This window comes from Homo sapiens, chromosome 7 (assembly GCF_000001405.40).
Source record: "Homo sapiens chromosome 7, GRCh38.p14 Primary Assembly".
Classification (NCBI taxonomy): Eukaryota; Metazoa; Chordata; class Mammalia; order Primates; family Hominidae; genus Homo; species Homo sapiens.
Genome location: NC_000007.14, coordinates 15,150,942 through 15,167,979, shown reverse-complemented (window position 1 = coordinate 15,167,979; position 17,038 = coordinate 15,150,942). Strand labels below are relative to the sequence as shown.

Genomic DNA, 17,038 nt, shown 5'->3' with positions numbered 1-17,038 from the left:
TGTTCACCAAGGTCTAGCATTTCTATTCTATAGAGACAGCTCATTGCCTGTAGATAAGATCACTGTGTCCTGCCATGAATGATGATGTCTATATCCCATATTTATTAAGGTTTAGAAGTGTTCCTTGAGGACACAGCATTTAAAATTAAATCACACTTTCATTTCCAGAACATCTTCCAAAAGTGCAGGATTTGGAATTTTAAATGTTTATTGCCATACAGCTAAAAGACAGGTTGATGATGCCAAAGCACTGATAGGTGTAAATGTCTTGCTTGAGTTGACCTTAGAGAGGCTTCTAAAGTGGTTGAAAAGCTTTCAGAATAGTAATCTTAGCCCTGCAATCTTAGATAGGTGCGAACTTTTGGTTTTCAGTCTGATATAAGAACCTAGTGAATGGCTAAAATGTGTTAAAATTGTCTTTAAAAATGTTCCGTGATATTTTTTTCTTTCCTTTTAGTGTTTGGAGGTTGTAATTGCCAAAGCAGTATAATGTAGTCACCTGGTTTTTTGTTGCAGTCTACTCTTTAGCGTCTCTTGCAGAATGTTACTTGTGATGTGCCTACTTATTATTATTGAATATAAGTCTCTTCATAATCCTTTTGAACAAATAAAGTCCGAAAGAAGCTATTTCTTAATTTTAGAGATATTAAATAACTAGCTTAATTTATAAAGCAATGTTTGAAATTATGTGAGTTGTTTACCTTCAACACCATATATAACCAAAATTTACCAATCATTATTTCTAAGTAGTGTTTTTCAAACTCTCCACAGAATATTTTTTAGTATATTTCAGTGAAATAACTTTTCAATATTCATGGACATTGTTTTAATTTCTATAAAACACTGATTGCTATAAATTTTCATGATTTATGGTGTTATTTAGAATCTAAGATTTTTTTTAGAACTTATTGATGAAATTTAGAATGTCAGTTTAGACTATTAGAAATTTCCCAATGTGGGAAAAAATAAAAATAGAATCACTCTCTATTATCTTTTCTCCAAGTATCTACTGGACATTCTACTGAATGGATAAGAGCCCTTTTGAATTCAGCATTTCTCAAACTGAGCAACCTGACCTCCCACTTACACCCCTAATCTTGCTCCATCCAAAGACTTCTCTATCTCAGTTGTCAGAAATGCCAAAGTTCTACTTTCTCAAGCTAAAAGCTTGCATCATCCTGGACTCCTCTACTTCATGTACTCCCCACACTGAATTCATTAGGAAATCCTATTGATGTTACAGTAAAAATATATGAAGAATGTGACCACTCATCACCTTCACTGCTTTGACTCCCATCCCGCTTCTTACTGGATGACTGCAGTGGCCTTCTAACTGGTTTCTCTACTTTTCCCCCTTTTCCTTAAGTAATCTTCTTAATATAGCACCTGGAATGATAACTTTTCTTAAAACGTAAGATGGATCCTGTTCCTACTCTGTTTAAAACCTACAAACAGCTCAGCATTTTGCTGAGAATAAAAGCCAAAGTTCTTACACTGTCCAAAGGGACATTGTATGATGGATGCCTTCTTCCTCTCTGACTCCTCCTTTACTACTCTCTCCCTCCCCACTCTGGTCTCCCGACACCAGCATATTTGCTGTCCTTTGAATATACCACACACCCAGCTGCCCTGGGGCTTTGCACTCATTGCTCCATCCACCGGTGTGGTCTTCCCTAACGTGTCAGGAGGGCTCACTCTTCATTCATCTCAAGTCTTTGCTCAAGCATCCTTCTGGTGATTCCCCTTAATAGAGCAGCCTGCTCTCCTCTTCTCACTCAGCACCACCGATCCTTCTTATCTGGCTCTACTTCATCTCTTTTTCTTCTCACGTCTCTAGAATCGATATAATAGGCTTATTTATTATGTTTATTACTTAGCATCTGTCACTTCCTATAAGAATGTATACAAGGCCTGGGGTCGTTGTCTGTTTTGTTAGCAACGTATCATGCTCAACACATGGTAGGTACACAATTATTGAACAAATGAATGATATAAGTAAGATTTCATATGAATATTTACATATTTATATACATACCTATAAATCACTTAAGGTATACTTAAAATTATCTTGTATGAGTACACAATAAATTCTTCAATTAATTCCTTACTATGGAGCAATAATATGCTTTAGGTTCCCATTATTTTAATCTTTAATGAACAAGCATGTATGTAAATATTTTTATAGATTCTCATTTATAGAAAAAGTACCTTGGGTAGTTTTACAATGTCCCAATTAACCACGTGTTATATCCCATTTTAAGAGATTAAATTATATGTCATATTCATTTAAGTAACATAATGGAAAAAATTGTACTAGACTAGGAACAGTAAAACTTTTCAGATATGCTACTCTTTACATCTGGGTAAGTTATTTAAAATTCTTGAGCTTGTTTTTCTCGACTTTTAAAATAATATACACTTTATCATCTATGTCATTTGTTTATAGGGTTAAATACAAAAACATAAGGCTTATTGTTTTAGGAACTGTAAGACTCTATTGAAGTGTAGTTTTACCATATTAAGTTACCCTCAAACTCTGAGTTGTAATTACCCTTCAGACTCTTGTCTTTTATGGTAACTTTCAGAATTTTTTAATGTTTATAGATTCAGGGAGTACATGTGCAGGTATGTTACATGGATATACTGCAGGATGATCAGGTTTGGGCTTCTAGTGTACCCATCACCTGAATAGTGAACACTGTACCCAATAGGAAATTTTTCAACCCTTATTCTCTCCCTCCCTCCCCACTTTTAGCATCCCTAGTGTCTATTATTTTCTTTGGTATGTCCATGTGTACCCACTGTTTAGCTCCCCCCGTAAGTGAGAACATGTGATATTTGTCTATATCTTGAATTATTTCACTTGGAATAATGGCCTCCCGCTCCATCCATGTAGCTGAGAAAGACATGATTTATTCTTTTCATGACTGTGTAGTATTCCATAGTGTATGCGTACCACATTTTCTCTATCCAATAATCTGTTGATGAACTCTTAGGTTAATTACATGACTTTGCTATTGTGAATAGTGCTGTGATACACATATTAGTGCAGGTGACTTTTTGATATAACAATTTTTTTTCTGTGGATAGATACTCAGGATTGCTGAGTTGAATGGTAGTTACATTTTTATTTCTTTAAGAAATTTACATACTGCTTTCCATAGAGGTTGTACTTTACATTTCCACAAACAGTGAATAAGCATTCCCTTTTCTCTGCATCCTTGCTAATATTTGTTGTTTTTTTGACTTTTTAGTAATAACCATTCTGACTGGTGTGGGAGAGTATCTCATTGTGGTTTAAACTTGCATTTCTCTGAAAAAAAATTTGCATTTCTCTGAAAATTAGTGAGGATGAGCATTTTTTCATACGTTTGTTGGCTGCTTGTCTGTCTTTTAAGAATTGTCTGTTCATGTCCTTTCCTACCTTTTAATGGGGTGTTTTTGTCTTGTGGAGTTTTTTGAGTTATTTATAGATTCTGAATATGAAGGCATAGTTTGCAAATATTTTCTCCCATTCTGTGGATTGTCTATATACTCTGTTGATTATTTCTTTTGCTATGTCGAAGCTCTTTAGTTTAATTAAGTCCCATTTGTCTATTTTTGTTTTTTGTTGCATGTGATTTGGGGATTTTAGTCATGATTATTTACCTAGGCCAATGTCCAGATAATTTTTCCTAGGTTTTCTTCTAGGATTTTTATAGTTTCAGGTCTTACATTTAAGTCTCCACCCCATCTGAGTTAATTTTTGTATATGGTGAGAGATAGGGGTCAAGCTCATTCTGCATATGACTATCCCATTTTCCCAGCACCATTCATTGAATAGAATGTTCTTTCCCCATTCTATATTTTCGTTGACTTTGTTAAAGATCAGTTGGTTGTAAGTATGTGGTTTTATTTCTGGGTTCTCTATTCTGTTTTATTCATCTATGTGTCTATTTTTATACAAGTACCATGCTGTTTTGCTTATCATAGCCTTACAGAGCCAGTAATAAGAAATCTCCCAACAACAATAACAAAAAATGCCTACAACCAGACAGATTCATAGTCAAATTTTACCAAACACACAAAAAAGAGCTGGCACCAATCTTACTAAAACTATTTCAGAAAATCAAAGAGGAGGGATTTCTCCCTAACTCATTCTGTGAAAGCAATATCATCCTGATATCAAAATCAGGCAAGGGCACAACAATAAAAAAAAAGAAAACTGTAGGCTAATATCCCAGATGAACATAGATGCAAAAATTTTTAACAGAATACTAGCAAACTGAATCCAACATATAAGAAAAAGATAATACATCATGATCAAGGGATTGTTATCCCAAGGATATGAGGGTAGTTCAACATACGCAAATCAATAAATGTGAGTCACCATATAAACAAAATTAAAAATAAAAAACCATAGGTCATTTCAATAAACGCAGAAAAAGCATTCTATAAAATCTAACATCCCTTTAGGATAAAAATGCTCAACAAACTAGGTATAGAAGAATACACCTCAAAATAATAAAAGCCATATATGACAAACCAACAGTCAACATCATATTGGATGGAGAAGAGTTGGAAGTATTCCCCCTAAGAACTGGAACAAGACAAAGATGTCCACTCTCACCACTCTTACTGAACATAGTACTGGAACTCAGCCAGAGCAGTAAGGCAAGAGAAGGAAATAAAAAGCATGCAAATTGGAAAAGTGGAAGTCAAATTATCTCTGTTTGCTGACAAAATGATCTTAAATCTAGAGAACCCTAAAGATCCCTTCAAAAGACTCCTAGACTTGTTAAATGACTTCAGTAAATTTTCAGGATACAAAATCAATGTACAAAAATCACTAGCATTTCTGTACACCAATAACCTTCAAGCTGAGAGCCAAATTAAGAACTCAATTTCAATTACAATAAGCCCCCGCAAAATCAAATACCTAGAAATGCATTTATCCAAGGGGGTAAATGAGCTCTACAAGGAGAACTATAAAACACTGATGAAAGAAATCACAGATAGATGATACAAATAAATGGGAAAACATCCCATGGTAATGCATTACAAGAGTCAACATAGTTAAAATGACCATAGAGGCCAAAGTGATCTACAGATGCAATAAAATTCTATCTTTTACAATTTATATGGGACCAAAAACAGCCCAAATAGTCAAAGCAATCTTAAGCTAAAGAACAAAGCTGGAGGTATCACTTTATCTGACTTCAGGCTCTTCTATGTTGACATTTGTAGTAACAGAGAAAGAGATAGTGATTACCTTTTATTATTTCTTATTTTATTATTACTATTTTTGAGATGGCATTTTAGTCTGTTGTCTAGGCTGGAGTGCAGTGGTGCTATTACAGCTCAATGTAGCCTCAACCTCCTGGGCTCTGAAGATCCTCCCACTTCAGCCTCCTGGGTTACTGGGACTATAGGTGCATGCCACCGTACCCAGCTAATTATTTGTCTTTGTTGTAGAGCTGGGTTTCCACCATGTTGTCCAGGCTGTTCTCGAACTCCTGAGCTCAAGCAAACCACCTGTCCCAGCCTTCCAAAATGCTGGGATTACAGGCATGAACTACCATGCCTGGTCACCTTTGATTATTTCTAATCACCCCATCCTAAAATGGCATAGCAAACCTATGATAAGATTAGATCATACAGAAACCTACCTTGAGTTGTAAACTGTTTGCAAATTATTAAAGGTGTATTAGTCCATTTTCACACTGCTATAAATATACTACCTGAGACTGGGTAACTTATAAAGGAAAGTGGTTTAGTTGACTCACAGTTCTGCATGGCTGGGGAGGCATCAGGAAACTTAGAATCATGGCAGAAGGTGAAGGAGAAGCAAGGCAGGTCTTACATGGCAGCAGGAGAGAGCCAAAGCACAGGGGAAACTTCCATTTTTAAAACCATCAGATCTCAAGGTAACTCACTCACTATCATGAGAACAGCATGGGGGAACCGTCCCCATGATCCAGTCACCTACCACCAGGTCCCTTTCTCAACATGTGGGGATTACAATTTGAGATGAGATTTGGGTGGAGACACTGAGACGAATCATATCCAAAGCTGTATATTGAATAGAACCTATCTGAAGTTAACCTTCTGAGGCAAACAATTATCTTCATGAAGACAAGAACAATGTCTTGTTCATCTGTGCAGGCCACATACTAACAGGATGCCAGACAAATGGTATATGTATTACTCAGGGTTCTCCAGAGAAACAGAACCAATAGGGTGTGCGTGTGTGGAGGGGTATACATGTATGTGATTACATATGTGTGTGTATGTATACACACACACATATATACATATACATATAGCATTAATCCATATATGGATTATATATGATATATATATATGTATGAATATAGGGATATATATGGATTATAGATGGATACATATATGTATATATACACATATATGTAAAATCCACATGTGTATATATGTATTAATGCATATATGATCCATATATGCATTAATACATATATGACATATGTGTGTATTTATACAAGCATATACTTATATGTGTATATGTATGTGTGTGTGTGTCTGTGTATATACATATTTATATATAGAGAGAGAGAGAGAGATAGAGAGATTTAAGGAAGATCCATGGATGAGTTGATAATTGCAGCTTGAGTCTAAAGGCCATCTGCAGGCAGAATTTGCTCTTTCTTGGGGAACATTTGTCTTTTTTCTTGCAAAGCTTTCAACTGCTTAGATGTGGCCCATCTGCATTATGGAAGGTAATTGGCTTCATTCAAAGTGTACTGATTTAAATATGAATCTCTTGTGATTTGGATGTGTCCCTCAAAAGCATTTGTTGGAATCTTAATCTCCAGTGCAACAGTGTTAGGATGTGTGGCCTAATGAGAGGTGATTAGGCTATGAGGGCTCTGCCCTCATTAATGGATTAATGCCATTATGACAGGAGTGGGTTCATTATTGTGCAAGTGGGTTCCCTATAAAAGGATGAGTTTCATTCTGTTTTCTATCTCTCTTTCACTCTTTTGCCCTTCTGCCTTCATCCATGAGATGATGTAGCATGAAGCCCCTTGTCAGTTGCTTGCTTTTTGATCTTGTACTTCCCTCCTCCAGAACTGTGGGAAATAAATTTTTGTTCATTGTAAATTACTCAGCCTCATGCATTCTTTTATAGCAGCACAGAGTGCATTAAGATAAATCTCATCTAAAAAATACTTTCACAGCAATAGTTATACTAGCATTTGACCAAATACCTGGGTTCCATGGCCTAACCTATTTGACACATGAAATTAACCATCAAAGTAGGTGACTAATAAATATTTTTGAATGACCATACTGGATAATTATAAATAGATTTGCATTATTGTTCCTTTCCATATGGAATTTATGGTAGTTTATTAATTTTCAGATATATTAAATTATATCCTTTTAAGTTTTGTTACTTCATATGTGTACATTTAGGTAGATCAGATTTATAGACAAATAGATGAATGGAAAAAAAAAGATGGACAAATCGTATATAGACAGATAGACCCAGATAATACAAATATACAGTTCTCGTTAATAATATTTTGGGAATATTAAGTCATTACGGATTTACATTTTATAGTTTTTAATACTTCTTTGTATCAGACACAGGCCTGACAAAATTTACTATCAAAGTTACTATAAAATTAGATGAACACAATTAAGAATTTGTCATAAATGAAATCTCTGCCAATGAGAAAGGGAGAAATCCTTCTGCCCCTTGTGTGGTATATGAAGAAGAAGGAAATAGTAGTGACGGAAGGTCAGGTGTTAATGTTAAAATTCCTACTTCTCGCTGTTCCGTGATCAATCCCCTTGAAGTTTAAGGGTGCTATGAAAATATCAACATGTATGAGAAGTCCTCTTCTTCTAGCATGAGATTACCTGTATGTTTCCAAGAGAACTTTGGGATTTGGCTCAGCTCCATTATCCAATATAGTGCAAAAGTGATATATTAGCATTCACCAAGGTGGTGGCTGGATAAATAAAAGTGAAGCAGCACTTTTAGCTTCCAGTGCCCAGTAGGCAAAAAACAAGTTTAAGCATGTTCTGGCAGAGAAATACATCGGATCTGAGAATTCTGGAGGAATAATATGGGTGTAGGGATCATAAGAAGAGACCACACAATATGCAGGACCTTTGTCACTAGAAGCAAATGAATGGACCGATTGGACCTTGAGAATCGCATGTAGAAAATCTTATTTATAGTATGCTTTGAAATATTTTTTCTGAGAATTCACAAATTAGCAAAGTTGAAGCAACTGGAATATCTTTGAAAGTATTATCCTGTCCCATTTGCAGCCTGTTAGTATTCCCTCTATATATTGTGACAGTGGGACAGCCACATGCCTCAGATTGATGTTGGTACAGATTCTTTCATGTTGTGCTTACTCCTTTAAAGCTTTCTTGCTTAGTTCCTGTTTTCCCTAGGAAAGGCAATGACAGAATTATTTTTTAAATGTACATTCTAAATGAGAATGAGCCTAGGGAGAAAGTAGTAACCCTGTGTTCTTTTCCAGTCCTGGACTCATGCCCTAGGAGCATGCAGTGAGAAGAAACAGAAGAACTGAAATCTCAGCAGAAGAATTAAAAACAAAGCAATCAATCTCTGCACTGTCTTTTACCACTTCTGTAGAGCTTAAAGATTTTTATCCGACTAAAACTTTGAGATATTTGAAAAGTTTATTTCAACCAAGGTCTGCAAAGTTTGCCTCATCATAAATAGGTTTCTTACATTTCCCTATCCCCTTGAATAACTAAAAATATATTTTAACAGTGTATCTCAAGTTTTTCTTCTTTCATTGTGCACAATCAGTCATTGTTGAGGGACCTGTACTTTTGTGGTAACACATGGGGTGTTATTTGGAATAAAATACAAAGAGAATATAATCAAGAAACAATCTTGTTTCTTGATTATCTTGTTTCTTGATATATTATGAGAAACTAATATGTGTATAAGAGATATACACATATTAGTTGCTTAAGAGAATGTAGTTTTATCTACCCCTCACCCCAACCCCAAAAATAGCAACATGGAATCCAATTCTGGATACTTGCCTTTGCTCAACATTTTGTATTTATTTTTAAGGACAAAATAAAATTTACTTGCAGCCTTGATTTTTATCTTTATTTTTTTTGAGGAGTACACACTGATTAAAACACTGTCCTAAGTCCTGACATACATTATACAATTTATCTCCCTCTAGAAAGGAGATTAAAATTTAATTCAGAGACAGGAAACAAATAAGAGGCAATCAATTCTATGCTGGGGCTTTATAAGCACAACAGACTGAACGATTCTGCTTTATGAATGGACCTAGTTTATTGTAAGTTCTCTGTGCCTTTGGGCCTTAATTCCCAGGGGCTCACAAGACATATTCATTGGCATGAAACTATTTCCTTTGCATGAATGCTATTGTGATTCCACAGTAAGACTCATGCATGGGAAAAAACAAAACCTGAAAAACCAAATGAGTAATGAGCAAAGTTGAGGTGAAATATTTTTGGCTGCTAGGTTTTGTTTTTGTTGACATTATATGTTGTTGTTGTTACACCTTTTAAAAAGTGTTTCCCTGCAGTTGTGCTCCTCACAAATGTAAAGGTTGTTTTTCATAGTTTCTCTTTTAGAATGTGATCACAGAGACTTCCTGAGGTCCTGAAACACCCGTGTCCTATAGCAGTGCTGCTCACACTTGCCTAATGAGAACAATTGCCAAGGGAGGTTGCTAGATGCATATTCCTGAACCCCAATCCAAACCTAGTAACAGAGCCAAGTTCTTCATTAGCCACGGTAGGTATGGTGCCTAGGGTTCATGGAACTTTTAGGGATCTAAAAAAATGCACTAATTTCTTTTGAAATCTGAAGAACAAATATAATCCATCCTCAATTATATTTGTCTTTATATCAATACAGTCATAAAATATAATATTTAATATTTTTACGGATAAAAGAATCTATTGAATATAATAGTGCCTAGAGCCCCTGAAAATAAAAATGGGATCCTGCTTAGCAACCAGAATATTCAAGGCAAGAGCCCCAGAATCTGCATTTCAACTAGCACTCACAAGTAAGTTTTTGAAACACTCGAGCAGTATTTTTAAAAGCTACATCCTTTCTGTGTTCAGTCAGGTTTCAATCAGAGAAATGGAATTATTGCAAGTATTACAGAAGGAATTTATGAGAGGAGTTAGACCTTACACAATTGTGAGAAGTACAGAGAAATAAGGTCGAGAAATAAGATGTGGAGGATTTGAGAAGTCACCAGCAAGCTTGAACCTGGATGGGAGGTTAGAAGCTTGCAGATAATCTGGAAAGCCAGGCTTGTCCCCCTTTGGAGGTGAGACAAACAAAGGGAAGATGAGTTGGGATAAGTCTCTTCAAGGCTGTTGCCTCTGTGTCTACAGGGGTGGGAGTGTGGGATCGGGGTTCACTGTTTATCACCAGGACCTGCAGCCTGGCAAAAAGAGAGTGGGACGCTGAGTAAGAAATAGCAAGGCAAACTTGAATGTACCTGCAGATACCTCCAGCTTAGCCAAGTTGACACGTACAAAATGCAGCCCTCTTCTTCCCCTCAGATGTTAGATAATTTTTATTTACATAACACATACTCTGCCCTCATGGGCTGATCACAGTTGTGTTAACTCCCTGTCACTCCACTCTTTACTCTCCTACCCTCTTTCTTACTAGTTGTGTGATCTGGGAAGGTATCTTACCCTCCTAAGCCTCATGGTCCTTCCTCATTTGATAAAAGAGAGAGTAAGAGTGCCTGCTTCAAAGGATTGCTGTGAGAACTGAACCTGATAAATAAGGTAGGGTGTTTTTTTGCCAGACTGTCAGGCACATAGTAAATGTTTGTTACTAGTGTTATTATTAATAATAATAAAGTAGACCGCAATTCAAGTGAATGATTGTGATATAATTGTAGAAATAATTCTAAATCTGCAATAAACTACGGTGCTATTTGTTGTCTTAATGATTTAATGGCCAGAAAAAATAATCAGCCTACTTAAAAGGAACAATAATTAGATGGCTGACTTTGTAGTAGAAACTTTGAAAGCCAATAGAAAACAAAGAAATAATATGTTCAATGTGCTGAAAGAAAATATTTGTAAGGTGGAGAGCCAAGATGGCTGACTAGATGGAGCTAAGAAGAGCTTTTTCCACTGAGAGAGACTGGGCCATGAAATAGATTGGTGCACTCCAAACAGATCTTTGGAAAGAAGGCACTGAGAGTGGACAGAGGGAGGATACAGACCCCAAGCTGAAAGGTGAGGAAGCTACCAACACTGCATGTGGTTGCCGAGCATGAAGACTTGTTCCTGGCCCTGAGTGGCTCCTAGAGAAGCAGTAAATGACACAAAAGTGGAGTGGCTTACTCTCATCATTGACCTCCAGGATCCTAGCTGCAGGAGATTCCACAGCCCCCAAGAACATCTGATCTGGCAAGAACTGTCTGGGGAGTTGGCAGAGACAGAACTCCAGCCTGCATTAAGCCCAGAGGGTTTGAGCACAGCCATGGGTGCCCATGCCCCAAGGCTCTAGCTTGTATTGGCTGCTGGAACTGGATAGAACAGGGGTGTCTTGCCCGTGGGAGGGGGCCAGTCTGATCTGAGCACCCCCTATCCGCCAGCCTCTCCCAGGGTTAATGCCTAATTACACTTGCTTGCTGCACAGCCTCAGCTTGCCAGCAGCCACTGCCATAGCTCTTTCACTGGCAGATCTCGCCTAAGCACTACAATATTTTTGCAGATGGACCCCTGCCAGTGCATACTCACCAACAGCCTTTCCCTGCCAGTGTGCACTTGCCCATAGCCTCCCGCCATCACCTTGCTGGTGCGCATGCACACATGGACTCCCTGCCACTCTACTGGTGTGCATATGTACAAGGACCCCCCACCCCTCACTGGAGCACTATTACCAGCAGCCCCCATTAGAGCGTAGTTGCCAATAGCCTGGGAATACCTCAACCCCTCTAGCACAGCAGGTGCTTCACCTTGAGGGGCTAGAGGACAAAGACAGAGTCCTGGTTACAACTCCTCAGGGTTAGAGCATGTAGCTCAGGAGTGCTGGGCTGAGCCTTGGCTGCCTGAAAGTATCCAGAAACAAAGCAAATAAACTAAAGGCAACTTATTCCACACTCAAACCCTCAAGGGCATCAAAGAATATAAAAGCAAAATGCCCCATACAAAAGACAGCCACTTCAAAAATTAAAGGAACATCGGCCCACACAGATGAGAAACAACCAGTGCAAGAACTCTGGCAACTCTGAAAGCCAGAGTGTCTTTTTACCTCCAAATGACCGCACTATCTCCCCGGCAATGGTTTTTAACCAGATTGAAATAGATTAAATGACAAACACAGAATTCAGAATCTGGATGCCAAAGAAGCTCATCAAGATATAAAAGAAGGTTGAAACCCAATCCAAGGAAAATAGTAAAACAGTATAATTGTTGAAAGATGATGTAGCCATTTTAATAAAGAGCCAAACTGAATGTCTGGAAGTGAAAAATTCACAACAGGAATTTCAGAATGCAAAAAAAAAAAAAAAAAAAAAAAAAAAAAAGAAATTCTGTAATGCAATTGGAAGCATTAATAATAGAATAGACCAACCTGAGGAAGGATCTCAGAGCTAGAAGACTGCTTCTTCGAATCAACATAGGCAGATAAAAATAAAGAAAAAAATTTTTTAATGCAGCAAAACCTCCAGGAAATATAGGATTATGTAAAGAGACCAAAGCTGAGACTCATTGGTATTCCTGAAAGACATGGAGAGAGAGTGAGCAACTTGGAAACCATATTTGAGGATACTGTCCATGAAAATTTTCCCAGTCTCTCTAGAGAGGCTGAATACAAATTCAGGAAATTCAGGGAACCTTTTCAATATGCAATACAATATAACCATCCCCAAGACACATAGTCATCAGATTCTACAAAGTCAATGTGAAAGAAAAAATCTGAAAGGCAGCTAGAGAAAAGGGGCAGATCACATACAAAGAGAACCCCATCAGGGTAACAGTGGAGTTTTGATCAAAACCCCTAAAAGGCAGAAGATATTAGAAGCCTATATTCAGCATCTTTAAAGAAAAGAAATTCCAACCAAGAATTTCATATCTGGCCAACCTAAGCTTTATAGGTGAAGGACAAATAAAATCCTTTCATACCAGAAAATGCTAAGGAAATTTGTTACCACCAGACCTGCCTTACAAGAGATCCTTAAGGAATTGCTAAACATACAAACAAAAGATGAATACCTGCCAGCTCCAGTGGCCTAGTACATAGCTCACCGACACTATAAAGCAACTATATAATCAAGTCTATATAACAACCAGCTAACAGCACCATCACATGATCAAATCTTCACATATCAAGATTAACCTTGAATGTATATTGGCTAAATGTACCACTTAAAAGACACAGAGTGGAAGTTAGATAAAGAAGCAAGACCCAACTGAATGCTGTCTTGAAGAGACCTATCTCAGATGCAAGGACACCCAAAGGCTCAAAGTAAATGGATGGAGAAAGATCTATCAAGCAAATGAAAACCAAAAGAGAGTGTTGCTATCCATGAGCATGGGATGTGTTTTCATTTGTTTGTGTCATCTATGATTCCTTTCAGCAGTATTTTGGAGTTTTCCTTGTAGAAATCTTGCACCTCTTTGCTTAGGTATATTCCTAAGTATTTTATTATTATTTTTTGCAGCTATTGTAAAAGGGGTTGAGTTCTTGATTTGATTCTCAGCTTGGTCACTGTTGATATATAGCAGAGCTACTAATTTGTGTACATTAATTTTCTATTTTGAAACTTTGCTGAATTCATTTACCAGTTCTAGGAGCTTTTTGGATGAATCTTTAGGGTTTTCTAGGTATATGATCATATCATCAGCAAACAGTAACAGTTTGATTTCCTCTTTACCAATTTGGATGCCTTTGATTTATTTCTCTTGTTTGATTGATCTGGCTAGGACTTCTGGTTCTATGTTGAATAGAAGTAGTGCAAGTGGGCCTCCTCATGGATGGATAGAATCAATATTGTGAAAATGACTGTATTGCCAAAAGTAATCTACAAATTCAGTGTCCATCAAATACCACCGTCAAAATACCACCATTATTCTTCACATAACTAGAAAAAAAATGTAGCATTCATATGGAACCAAAAAATAGCTTGCATAGCCAAAAGCAAGACTAAGCAAAAAGAGTAAATCTGGAGGCATTACATTACCCGATTTCAAACTATACTTTAAGGCCATAGTCACCAAAACAGCATGGTTCTGGTATAAAAATAGGCACATATGCCAATAGAATAGAGAACCCAGAAATAAACACAAATGCTTACAGTCAACTGATCTTCAGCAAAGCAAACAAAAACATAAAATGGGGAAAGGACACCCTATTCAACAAATGGTGCTGGGATAATTGACAAGCCACATGCAGAAGAATGAAACTGGATCCGTATCTCTTACCTTATACAAAAATCAACTCAAAATGGATCAAAGACTTCAATCTAAGACCCCAAATCATAAACATTCTGGAAGATAACATTGGAAAAACCCTTCTAGCCTTTGGCTTAAGCAAAGGCTTCATGATTAAAAACACAAAAGCAAATGCAACAAAAATAAAGATAAATATATGGAACTTAATTAAACTAAAATGCTCCTGCAAAGGAGAAGAAATCATCATCAGAGCTAACAGATAACTACAGTTTGGGAGAAAATCTTCACAATCTGTATATCTGACAAAGGACTAATATGCACAATCTACAAAGAGTTTAAACAAATCAGCAAGAAAAGAAAAAAAAAAACAATCCTATCAAAAACCAAGCTAAGGATATGAATAGACAATTCTCAAAAGAAGATATACAAGGGGCCAACAAACATATGGAAAAATGCTTAACATCACTAATTATCAGAGAAATCCAAATCAAAACCACAACATGATACTACCTCACTCCTGAAAGAATGGCCATAATCAAAAAATAATAGATGTTGCTGTGGATGTGGTGAAAAGGGAACACTTTTACACTGTTGGTGAGAATGCAAACTAGTAAAACAACTATGGAAAGCAGTGTGGAGACTCCTTAAAGTACTAAAAGTAGATCTGTCATTTGATCCAGCAATCCCACTACTAGGTATCTACCTAGAGAAAAAGAAGTCATTATACAAAAAAGATACTTGCATACACACCTTTATAGCAGCATAGTTTGCAATTGCAAAAATACGGAACCAGCCCAAATGCCCATTAATCAATGAGTGGATAAAGAAAATGTTGTATATTTATATCATGGAATACCACTCAGCCATAAGTAGGAATGAAATAATGGCATTCACAGCAACCTGGATGAAATTGGAGACTATTATTTTAAGTTAAGTAACTCGGGAATGAAAAGTCAAACATCATATATTCTCACTCATAATTGGGAGTTAAGCTATGAGGATGAAAAGACATACTAATTAAACAATGGACTTTGGAAAGTCAGGTGAAAGGGTGGGAGGGGGTTGAGAGACAAAAGACTAGACTACGCACTGGGTACAATGTGCACTGCTTGGGTGATGGGTGCACCAAAATCTTACATGAACTTATTCATGTAATCAAACATCACTTGTTCCCCAAAAACTTATTGAAATAAAAAATAAATTCAAAAAACCTTTTACCATTGCACACCTTCAGTGCCGCCCTGAACTGCTTACAGTTTGATGCTGCCCAATTCATGAATTTCTGTCTGTTCAAATATACATAAAAATTTTAAAAGAAAACAAAAACAAAACAAAAAAAGAGTGTTGCTATTTTTATTTCACACAAAACAGACTTTAAACCAACCATGATCTAAAGGACAAAGAAGGGTATTGCATTACATAATAATAAAAGGTTCAATTCAAAAGAAGATTTAACTATCTTAACTATATATGCACCCAACACTGGAGCACCCAAATTCATTAGAGAAGTTCTTATAGACCTACGAAGAGACTTAAATAACTAGACAATATTTGGGATATTTCAGCTCCCTGCTACAGAAATTTCAGAATGCAATTGGAAGCACTAAAAACAGAATAGACTAACCTGAAGAAAGAATCACAGACCTAAAAGACCACTAACAGTGTTAGATAGATCATTGAAACAGAAAACTAACAGATATGTTAGGGACCTAAAGTCAACCCTGACCAAATGGACCTAACAAATATCTGCAGAATACATAACTCAACAAAAGAATACACATTCTTCCCATGTGCACACACCACATATTCTGAAGTGGACCATATGTTCTGCCATAAAGCAATTCCCAACAGATTTTTAAAAAGACCCAAATCCTGCAAATCACACTCTCACATCACGACACAATGAAAATAGAAATCAACACCAGGAATATTTCTCAAAACCATACAATTACATGGAAATTAAACAACCTGCTTCTGAATTACTTTTGCATAAACAATTAAATTAAAACAGAAAAAAATTCTTTAAAACTAATGAAAACAAAGTACAATATACCAGAATCTCTTAGATACTGCAAAAGCAGTGTTGAAAGTTTATTGTGCTGAACACCTACAGAAAGAAGTTAGAAAGATCTCAAATCTAACATCACACCTAGGGGAACTTAGAAAACAAGAGCAAACCAACCCCAAAGCTAGCAGAAAAAAAGAAAACCAAAACGAGCGATGAACTGAACACAAATGAGATCCAAAAATCCATACAAAAGATCACTGAAACGAAAAGTTTGTTCTTTGAATGAATAAATAAGATGGATTGCCCATTAGCTTGATTAATAAAGAAAAAATAGAGAAGATTCAAATAAACATGATTATAAATGACAATGCAGAAATTATCACTGTCCCAACAGGACAAAACAAACAAACAAAACTTAGAGACTATTGTGAACACTTCTGTGCACACGAACTAGAGAACCTGTAAGAAATAAATACATTCCCAGAGATATACAACCTCCCAAGACTGAACCAGGGAAGAAATTATAATCCTGAACAGACCAATAACTAATTGTGAAATCGAAGCACTAATAAAAATGTACCAACCAGAGAAAGCACTGGGCCA

The 17,038-nt window shown here is 36.5% G+C and overlaps 1 protein-coding gene across 3 annotated transcripts in view; it reads left to right on the top strand.

Moving 5' to 3' along the window:
* AGMO (alkylglycerol monooxygenase) overlaps positions 1-17,038 on the top strand; it is a 444,793-nt gene that overhangs the window by 394,036 nt on the left and 33,719 nt on the right. Inside the window, exon 13 of one of the 3 annotated variants that reach the window (XR_001744759.1) lies at positions 9,613-9,787. Coding sequence is in view for 2 of the 3 variants with exons in the window: in XM_011515402.4 (XP_011513704.1) it covers positions 8,517-8,567 (51 nt within the window). In the remaining variant the exon portion in view is untranslated. Of the gene's footprint in view, positions 1-8,516; positions 9,576-9,612; positions 9,800-17,038 lie in introns of those variants that run through there. The other 2 variants (XM_017012204.2, XM_011515402.4) reach the window with 2 other exon arrangements.